Raw genomic sequence first — 10,642 nt, 5'->3', positions numbered from 1 at the left:
GTGCTCGCCGTCCCTCTTAGCCTGGGCTTGCGGCCTTCCTCATGGGGGTCTCTGAAGAGCTGGGGGTGCTAGGTGTGGTGGCTCACGCCTGAAATCCCAGCACTTTGGGAGGCTGAGGCAGGCAGATCACTTGAGATCAGGAATTTGAGATGGAACCCTGCCTCTACGAAAAATACAAAAATTAGCCAGGCGGGGTGGCAGGTGCCTGTAATCCCAGCTACCCAGGAGGCTGAGGCTTGAACCCTGGAGGCAGAGGTTGCAGTGAGCCAAGATCTCGAGATCTGGCCACTGCACTCCAGCCTGGGCGACAGAGCCAGGCTCCGTTTCAAAAAAAAAAAAGAAAAAAAAAAAAAAAAGCGGGGCGGGGGGGAGGTGCTCTTTTCGTCTCTGGCCACAAGGGGTCGCTGTGACCTCGCCTGTGCATCCGGTGGTCATTGACATCAAAGCCAGGTCTCCCCCTCCCCAGCCCCGACTGGGAGCTCAGCTGTCTCTGCCCACCTGCCCGCTGGTCTCTGAGCCAGTCCTTAAGGGTGAGAGACACAGGTTGGCAGAGATCTTAAGGCCCCGTATAAACACCAGACACTCCTTGACCTCAAGACCCCTGTGTCATCCACTCAACAAATACTTTTTGAGCAGGTGATTTGTGACAGCAGTGAACAGAACAAAACCATGCCCTCAAGGGAGATACAAAAAAAAAAAAAAAAAAACGAGAAAAATAAGTCAAATATATGGTATGTTGGATCGTGATAATCGCTTCTATTTAAGTAGGAGGGACGGGGAGGCTTCAAGGAGGAGATATTCAGGGAAAGGTGCAGGGTGAGGCAGAGAGCACAGGGGTGGAGGGTCTCTGGGAAAGTGTTCCTGGCAGGAAACAGCAAGTGCAGACTCTGAGATTGAGGGAAAAAGGAGAGGGGGCAGGTGGAGGAGAGAGGTGAGAGGGAGAAGCGACTTTGGCTTGGCTTTGTTTCTAAGCACTGCAGAAGCCATGGAGGATATTTGAGTAAAGGAGGGATACTGATCACCCCTTTATTCATGCAGCAAACATTTCCTGACGCCTCCTTGGAGCTGGCGGGCCCTGCGCAGGGCGGTGGGGCAATGCAGCTGAGTCAGCCCCAGTCCCTGCCCTCAATGGGCTCCCTGTCTGCCAGCGGAGGCGGGCAGGGATACTGGCAAGTCAAGATCCGGAGGGATATGTGCCACCGTGGGGCTTAGGAGGGACACAGGGGAGGCCTGAGGTGGGGCTTCTAACTCAGTGCGGTGCGTCATGGAACGCTTCCTGAAAGAGGTAATGTGTAAACCGGGAGCTGGAGATGAGTAAGAATGAGCACAGGAAAGGGCGAGATGGGGACAAATGTGCAAGGCAGAGAGAATGGCAGGCACAGAGGCCTGCAGGCATGGGAGCCCCAAGTCCCTGCGAGGCTTTGCCGCTCCTCCCTGTGCAGGATGGTGGAGGGGGTGGCCAGCCCTCCATAAAGCACTGGAATTCTTCTGGCCGGGATGGGGCACTTAGGGAGGGCGAGAGCAGACAGGGCCGGCTCTGGGTGTCAGAAAGATCCCTCTGGGGCCGTGTCCAGGAAGGACTGGAGTAGGGAAGACTCAGCCAGGAGGCCAGGGAGAGGGCTGGGACAAAGGTCTGGGAATGGATTTGGTAGCCAAAACTGGGGCAGTGGCGAGGGTGTCAGGATGGTGAGAATGGATGTGAGGGCCATTTAAGAAGTCCTCACCAAGAGCTGGGAACCCTATTCAATGCTGAGGGTGTGTTTCCTAAGGGCGAAGAGCCCTACGTGTTCTCAAAGGCAGTGTAAATCCAAGAGACATTTCTTCCAGGCAGACTGAACAAAAACAAACAAAAAAGATGTTCGCCACATATGCCGGTGGCCATGGTAAACCCGGGAAATTCTTTTGCTGGAGGAGGAAGGCTTGGTAAATATGGAGGGCAGGGGCAGGGAGCTGCTGAGGCTGGAGGCCCAAGTGAACACAGACGCTCCTTTAGCTAAACAGGAGGCCCCAGTCTTCATGGGGACAAAGGGACTTTTGCTGTGGCCTGTGGCCTTGGCAAACACAGCCTCTACATAAACACAACTAAAGGTGGCAGTGGGGCGAAACGCCAGCGTCTCATCCCATCAGGTCAGAAGCATTCTCCCCACTGCAGGGATTTGGAGCCCAGTCTCAGAAAGACCGGCTTCCCCATCTTCCACCTGTGTGCTCTCCTGGGGCTGGGTCATTGGAGATCGCTGTCAGGTCTGAGGAGGTGGAGACATTGAGTGCAGAGATTCTGGAGAAAAGCAGAGATTCTAAACAGGCTCTGAGATGATCTTCCTCCTTCAGCCTGTTATAGAGCCCCTGCCACGTGCCGGGTGGCAGACGTGGCAACAGGGATTCAGCAACAAGATAGACAAGGTCCCTGCCCTCGTGAAGCCTCAGTTCTAATAAGAGATGCCTCTTCCTTCCACAAAGGTTTACTGAACACCTCCTATGTGCCAGGGCATAGAGGCAGATAAAGACAGTGAAAATCCCTGCACTGTCAGGGTTGCCATTCAAGTCGTGGGAGACAGAGTAGACGTAAGAGTAAGAAAGTAAATAAATAAAACATGAGAGACATCCGACAGTAATAAACACCATAGAGAGGAAGAAAACCAGCAATAATAATAAACAAGGAAGCAAACCGATAGAGCAATTACAGATTGAGATAAGGTGTAGGAAGGAAACCCACAAGAAGCTGAGATGGAAACTGGAAGGGAATGCCAGCTCTGGAGAAGGTGGTCAGGAGATGACCTTTAAGCTGAAATCTGAAGGAAGATCACAGGCAGAGTGGTGGGAAGCATGTCCCAGGCAGAGGGAACAGCAAAGGCCAAGCCTCTAAGTTGGGAAGGCGCCTCCCAATGTTGAGAAGATGGAAGAAGTTCCAGGGGGCAGAGGCACAGTACACAATGCAGTGATGAGGTTGGAAGGATGGACAGAAGCCAGACACCAAGTGCCTTGGAGGCATTTGCGTTTTATTATAATTGCAGTGGGCACTCACAGATGGGTTTTAAGCAGGTTTTAACATGATATTGTTTTAAGAAGACGTTGGCTGCTGAGTAGAGAATGGACTTAGCAGGGCGAGGGAGGGAGGGGTTGGGGGTCGAGGCTGGAAGCAGCGAGACCAGTTTGGATGCTCTTGCACCTGTGTAGGTGGGAGATAAGGGTGACTTGGAAGAGGGCGACTGAGAGGAGACAAGTGGGTGGATTCTTTACTGTGTACTTTGGAGCTAAGTGACAGGAACTGCCAAAATGGGAGGTGAGAGCGAGGGAGGAATCAGAGACGCTCCCAAGCGTCTTTGACCCAAGCACCTGGGGAGAGGATACTAACTTAGAGGAGACACAGGGGGAAGGTTGGGGTACACCGTGGAGCTTAAACAGAAATAAATGGGAGGGGCCGGGCACGGTGGCTCACGCCTGTAATCCCAGCACTTTGGGAGGCCGAGGCGGGCGGATCACGAGGTCAGGAGATCGAGACCATCCTGGCTAACACGGTGAAACCCCGTCTCTACTAAAAATACAAAAAAATTAGCCGGGCGTGGTGGCGGGCGCCTGTAGTCCCAGCTAGTCGGGGGGCTGAGGCAGGAGAATGGCGTGAACCCGGGAGGCGGAGCTTGCAGTGAGTGGAGATCGTGCCACTGCACTCCAGGCTGGGTGACAGAGCGAGACTCCGTCTCAAAAGAAAAAAAAAAAAAAAAAGAAATAAATGGGAGGTAATAGAGGTGGGATGGGGGGCAGGGATGTTCACTGTCCATCAGCCGAGCATCAGGGGCCCCCAGGTTTGCACACAGAGGCCGCCTGGCACAAAGCAGTTTTCAGTGCTGGCTCGGAAAGGTCTGAGAGATTACCCGGAGAGAGTTTGGATCATCAATGACACACATGAGATCAGAAGCAGAGAGGCATCAAGTCAGGCTGGCTCGGGTTCAAATCCCAGCCCTTCCATGCCACGTTAGACAACTGACCTCATTTCTCTCCATTTCGTCATCTGTAAAATGAGTGTCATCGTGTCTCATGGGGCTGGTGGGAGAATTAAGGGAGACATGGCACACGGTAGACACTAGGAAAGTTGCCAACCAAGAGCCTATCAGGACCCAAGGGAAGACAGAGACGGGGGTCTGTCTGCTCATCCCACGACAATTCACTGTGTGCACACTCATGCCAGGCTGTTCTAGGAGCTGGGGACCCATCGGGGAACAAGGCAAACAGAACTCCCCACCCTCGCTGACATGGAAACAGATTTGCAGACAGGGTGACATGGTGTTTAACAGCCAAATGATCTGGGTTCGAGGCCTGGCTGTGCCACTTGCCCAAGTTACTTGTCTAAGGCCTGGTTTCCTCATCTATAACGTGGTAGTAATAAGAGTCCCTCACCCCACAGGGCTTTCACGAGGGTTAAATGTGAGAGGATGTATGTGAAGCCCTTGGTGACCTGCCCCATTGCTATGATAAGTGGACAGAGAGACGGGTACTGGCTGACACATGGAGTGGGGAGCTTCAGGAGAGAGGACCCCCCAGCTTCCAAAGATAGGACACCCCAGCTTCTGCATCCCACTACCTCCACGTGGCCAGAGACCACCTCCCCCGCCGTCGTTCCCACAGTCACACCCAGCCTCTATCTCTATCTGGAAGAGCTCCACCTCTGAAACCACAAAATCCCACATTCCCACTCCCTGACCACAGCTTCCCCTGCCTCTGTGCATGGTTGTCTGCGCCATTCCTGTTCTTCCACCTCAAAGACGTCTGACCCTCCTCAGGCAGCCTCCCCACCAACACCCCTTGTCTCCACCCCCTGAGAACTTTAGGTTGAGTGAAATAAGCCGGTCACAAGAGGACAAATATAATATGATTCCTTTTGGCCGGGTGCACTGGCTCACACCTGTAATCCCAGCACTTTGAGAGGCTGAGGCGGGAGGAGGATCACTTGAGCCCAGGAGTTCAAGGGCAACCCCAGAGTCCCCTCTGCCCTGGCGACCCTCAGCTCCCCAGTCCCAGCATCCCTCCCACCATCACCCAGTCCTGCAGGCGCCTTCTCTTTGTCTACATCCAGGAAGTTGGAGGAAAAAAAAAATCCGCCAACTGCTGAGAGGGTGCCCCTTAAAACATGTGATCCTCAGCGTCACCTGGGCCCCTTCACCACCACCCTCAGCCTTCCCAACCCCACCCACCAAGGCCCCTTGAGATGAGCCGACTGACGTCTCCCTGGAAGAAACAAGCCACAGGACGGACCAGCCTCGACTTCCTGCCATCGGGCTCACACCCTACCCGCACCTGACCTGCCCTTTCCTTCTTCCTTCCCGAAACAATGTAAGAGGAGTCTTTCCCCATGTCTGGGGCTAATCCCACCACATCGCTGGTTGCACCATCCACTCCTTTGTTCTTGAACATTTCGTGAGGTGGTTGAGAGCTCTCCACCTGCGTTCAAATCACGGCGCCCCCGTTCAGCGTTGTGTAACCTTGGCACGTGGCCGAGCATCTCCATCTTGGCTTCCTCCATCTGTACAATGAGGGGAGTAACAATACCGGAGGTACTCATGAGCTCTCCCATGGCTACGGGAAGGTGTCAGCAAGTTAATTCTCGTGAAATGTGTTCAAATCGTGTTGGACACACACATCGGTGTGCAAATGAACTTGTTAGTGGCCTTGGGAGACAACAGAAGGAAGAGTTTACAGTGTGGAGCGGAGGTTCGGACAGTCCTGGAGTCTCTGATACCTCCTGCACCTACCAGCTGTGGGACCTTGGACAAGCCACCTCCTCTCTCAGCCTCAGTTTCCCTGTCTGTAAAATGGGGACAAGTTAGTGCCTCTCCCGAGGAGTCCAGACTTTCCATGACCTCACTATCCTCACTGTCTATTCTCCCCTCACCCACTTGGCCCCCCACTGACCATCTTGCAGTTCCCAAACCTACAGACCCCTTCCACTGCAGGGAAGCCCTTGCTGCCACCTTTTCATAGACCCTCATAACTTGTAATGTCGTATATCGTATTTATTTCCTTTCTTTTTCTTCCAGAATATACAGATCAGTAGGGCAAAGATTTTTTTGGAAGGGGTATCTATTGTGTTCATTGCTGTATCCCCTAGAACTATGAGGGTGTACATAGTAGGTGCTTGATAAATATTTGCTGAAAAGAGGTGGGGGAGAAAAGGAAGGCAGATGGGAGAAGAGGGAGAGATGAAGGGAAAGAGGGAGGAAAAGAAAGGGAAGACACTAACCCAGATAAAGAACTTGGCTGGTTAAACAGAATGTGGTCTATATACACAGTGGAATAGCAATCAGCCTTAAAAAAGGAAAGAAATCCTGGCACATGCTGCAACGTGGATGAGTGTTGAGAACATTAGGTTGAGTGAAATAAGCCAGTCACAAGAGGACAAATATCATATGATTCCTTTTGGCCAGGTGCAGTGGCTCACGCCTGTAATCCCAGCACTTTGAGAGGCTGAGGTGGGAGGAGAATCACTTGGGCCCAGGAGTTCAAGACAAGCCTGGGCAGCACAGTGAGACCCCATCTCTACAAAATATTTTTTTAATTATCTGGGTGTAGTGGTGTGCATCTGTAGTCCCAGCTACTCAGGAGGCTGAGGTGGGAGGATCGCTTGAGCCCAGGAGGTTGTGGCTGCAGTGAGCTATGACTGCACCAACTGCACTCCAGCCTGGGTGATAGAGTAAGACTTATCTCTTAAAAAAAAAAAAAAAAAATCCAATTCCTATTATGTCAGGTACCTGGACCTAGAGTAGTCAAATTCATAGAGACAGAAAGTCGAATGATTGTTGCTAGGGGCTGGGGAAGGGAGAAGCAGGGAGTTATCATTTAGTGGGTGCAGAATTTGAGGACAATGAAAACATCTGGGGGAGTTAGAGAGTAGTGATGGCTACACAGCAATGCGAATCTGCTGAATCCCACTGAATTGTACCTAAAAATGTTTAAAATGCTTGATTTTGTGCTTTTTTTTTTTTTAGATGGAGTCTCACTCTCTCGCCCAGGCTGGAGTGCAGTGGCATAATCTCGGCTCACTGCAACCTCTGCCTCCTGGTTTCAAGTGATTCTCCTGCAACAGCCTCCCAAGTAGCTGGGACGACAGCGTGCGCCACCACGCCCAGCTAATTTCTTTTGTATTTTAGTAAAGACAGGGTTTCACCGTGTTGCCCAGGCTGGTCTCAAACTCCTGAGCTCAGGCAATCTGCCCGCCTCGGCTTCCCAAAGTGCTAGGATTACAGGCGTGAGCCACTGCGCCTGGCCTATGCTGTGTTTATTTTACAACAATAAAAAATTGTAAAATTTTCTTAAAATTTAAATATTTTTTAAAAGGTCTCATCTGCCGGGCGCAGTGGCTCACGCCTGTAATCCCAGCACTTTGGGAGGCCGAGGCGGGTGGATCACCTGAGGTCAGGAGTTTGAGAGCAGCCTGGCCAACATGGCGAAACCCCGTCTCTGCTAAAAATGCAAAAATTAGCCAGGCATGGTGGTGGGCACCCATAGTCCCAGCTACTCAAAAGGCTGAGGCAACAGAATTGCTTTAACCTGGGAGGCGGAAGTTGCAGTGAGCCGAGATCCTGCCACTGCACTCCAGCCTGGGTGACAGACTGAGACTCATCTCAAAAAAAAAAAAAAACAACCAAGGTTTCATCACAGTCCCTGGCTGTGCTGAGCACAGAATACATGTGAGTGATTGTTTTTGTTCCAAGTGCCATCCAGGTTTTCCTTTCTTATAAACAGCCATCAGTATCAACCACCCTTCTCCTCCCCTCACACCCAAGAGCTGTCCGCACCTATGGTCTCCTCTGCTCCGCCCAGCTTCCACCCCTACCACACCACAAAAAACCTTTCTCTCCAAAATCACCCATCACCTATCTTCCTTCCAGAGGCATCTGACCGCCCCTGCCACTCCCTCGTTTAAAAAATGCTCTCTGGCTGGGCGCAGTGGCTCACACCTGTAATCCCAGCACTTGGGGAGGCCAAGGCAGGCAAATCACTTCAGCCCTGGAGTTGGAGACCAACCTGGGCTACATCGTGAGACCCTGTCTCTACAAAAAAATACAAAAATTAACTGACTGTGGTAGCACGTGCCTGTAGTCCCAGCTACTCAGGAGGCTGAGGTGGGAGGATGGTTGAGCCCAGGAGTTCAAGGCTGCAGTGAGCTGTGATTGCACCACTGCACTCCAGCCTGGGCAACAGAGTGACACCCTGTTTAAAAAGAAAAAAAAAAGCTCTCAACTTTCCTGACACTGCTCCCTCCTGGTGTCCCTCTTAGCTCTTCAATCACTCCTACCCCTGGCATAACTGTTTCTTACCCCCTGAGCTGTGAGTCTTCAGTGGGGTCCTCTCACTGTATACCCTCTCCCTAGGTGGGCTCCACACCGCTGGTATCCAGCACCATCCGTGCCGTGATGCCCCATCACTCTCCTGAGCTCCAGACCTGAGTATCCCGAAGGATTCTGCTCTCCCCTACTCAGGATCATGCCACCATCCCCCATCACCCTCGGAGTAAAATTCTCGCCCCTGCAGCACCAGGGCCCTGCTCATCTTGGCCACTCCTCTCTCCTACGCTCTGAGCTCTCTCACCATCCTCCTGCCCCACCATCCCTACTCGAAACCACTCACCTCCCTCCTACCCTCTCCACACACTGTCCATCCTCCCTGGCAAACTCCTATTCATCTGCAGGAACCTGCTAAGACTGCCCCTCCTCCTGGAACCCTTTCCCACACCTGAGGCTCCATCCAGCCCCTCAGCCTCCTCCAGGGGAGCACACGTGACACCAGATGGAGTTTCCTGTTGCCCCGCTGGCCTGTTTCACCAGACCGTGAGTTCACAGAGGAGCAGCGACTGAGGCTCTGTGTTCATTCATTCATCAGATGTTTATCGATGCCCGTGGCACAGCAAACAAGACCGTGCCAAGCAGGTGGTGGAGTGGTGAGCGAGATACCCTGGGAACCTAGCATGTGGTGGGAAGAGGGCCCAGCAACCTGGCCACGGCACGGCAGGTGCTGAGGTCCGGGCTGGGGACGGCAAGTCCTTGGGAGCCACCGGCGGTGAACTGGGCCTCATCAGCTGCATCTCCAGCTGTCTCCCTACCTTTGAGCTGAAGGCCTTGGGGAGCCTTCCAGTCATTCTGTGCCCTGGCTCAGGCTCTGCATAAACACAAGAACCCCCTCTTTATTTATTTGTTTGTTTATTTATTTATTTTGCAACAGAGTCTCGCTCTGTCACCCAGGCTGGAGTGCAGTGGCACAATCTCAGCTCACTGCAACCTCTGCCTCCCGGGTTCAAGCGATTCTCCTGCCTCAGCCTCCTGAGTAGCTGGGGCTACAGGCACCCACCACCATGCCCAGCTCAGTTTTTTTGTATTTTTAGTAGAGATTGGGTTTCACCATGTTTTCCAGGCTGGTCTTGAACTCCTAACCTCAGGTGATCCACCTTGGCCTCCCAAAGTGCTGGGATTACAGGCGTGAGCCACAGCACCTGCCCCCCTGCCACCCTTTAAAGAAAGGATTCTCTTGGATCTCAGGGATAGAGTGGCATGAAGGAGCCACTCCCAGGCTCCTGGGGGTTGACCAAGGCCTTCTGCTTAAGTAGGGTGTTCTTTTTAGGAACAGGGAGACCTTGTGTTTACTAGGAAATTCTGTTTTATTTTTAACTTTTTCCTTTGAGATAATTACAGACTCACAGGAGGCTACACACACAGCATAGGGAATCTCCCTCACCTACTTCTCCCCGTGGCGACACCTTGTGTAACTGTCGTTCAGAATGGAAACCAGGAAATCAACACAGAAACCAAACTATTAATGAGACTACAGATCACACTGCGCGTTCATTTTTCACACGCATTTCTTTGCACGTGTGTGTGTGCACGTGGGCTTCTGTGTCTCTTTATCTCATGTGTAGAATCGTGTAATCACCGCCACATCCAGTGCAAAGCTGATTCGTCACCACAGAGCAGCTCCCTCCTGCCACCCCATCCCTGGGTCCCAAGAGAACCCTTTCTTAAAAGAGGGAGTTCTTGACGGGTGTGGTGGCTCATGCCTGTAATCCTTGCACTTTGGGAGGCCAAGGAGGGTGGATCATTTGAGGTCAGGAGTTTGAGACCAGACTGGCCAACATGGTGAAACCCTGTCTTTACTAAAAATACAAAAAAATGAGCGGGGCATGGTGGTGGGTGCCTATAGCCCCAGCTACTCAGGAGGCTGAGGCAGGAGAATCGCTTGAACCCAGGAGGCAGAGGTTGCAGTGAGCCGAGATTGAGCCACTGCACTCCAGCCGGGGCTAAAGAGTGAGACTCTGTCTCAAAAAAAAAAAAAAGAAAAAGAAAAAAAGAAAAAAAAATAAAATAAATAAATAAATAAAATAAATTTAAAAATTTAAAAATAAAGAGGGGGTTCTTGTGTTGATGCCGAGCCTGAACCAAGGCAGAGGAGGCCGGGAAGGCTTCCCAAGGCCTTCAGCTCAAAGCAGGGAGGCCCATAGTTAAACAGAAACAGTTCAGGAATCACAGAAAGGCACCTGGGGAGAGATGGGTGTGTGGCTCCAGATGCAGGTGCCCAGACAGTGCGTCCCCAGGTGTACAGACAGACCCAGGCCAAGCTCCAGCTCAAAGAGCCAGCCTAGGGGGGTGCCGAGGTGGAGGGA

General features: G+C 52.2%; 1 annotated feature.

Annotated features, from left to right (window-relative positions):
• Positions 8,433-8,727: a silencer, noted in NCBI's record as "tiled region #1105; HepG2 Repressive non-DNase unmatched - State 22:ReprW". NCBI's record gives its function as "represses a minimal TATA promoter and a strong SV40 promoter by Sharpr-MPRA in HepG2 cells {active_cell/tissue: HepG2}" and the evidence as "EXISTENCE:reporter gene assay evidence [ECO:0000049][PMID:27701403]".

The sequence above is a fragment of the Homo sapiens genome, chromosome 19, assembly GCF_000001405.40.
Source record: "Homo sapiens chromosome 19, GRCh38.p14 Primary Assembly".
In the NCBI taxonomy this organism is placed as follows: domain Eukaryota; kingdom Metazoa; phylum Chordata; class Mammalia; order Primates; family Hominidae; genus Homo; species Homo sapiens.
This window is presented reverse-complemented; position numbering and strand designations above follow the sequence as displayed.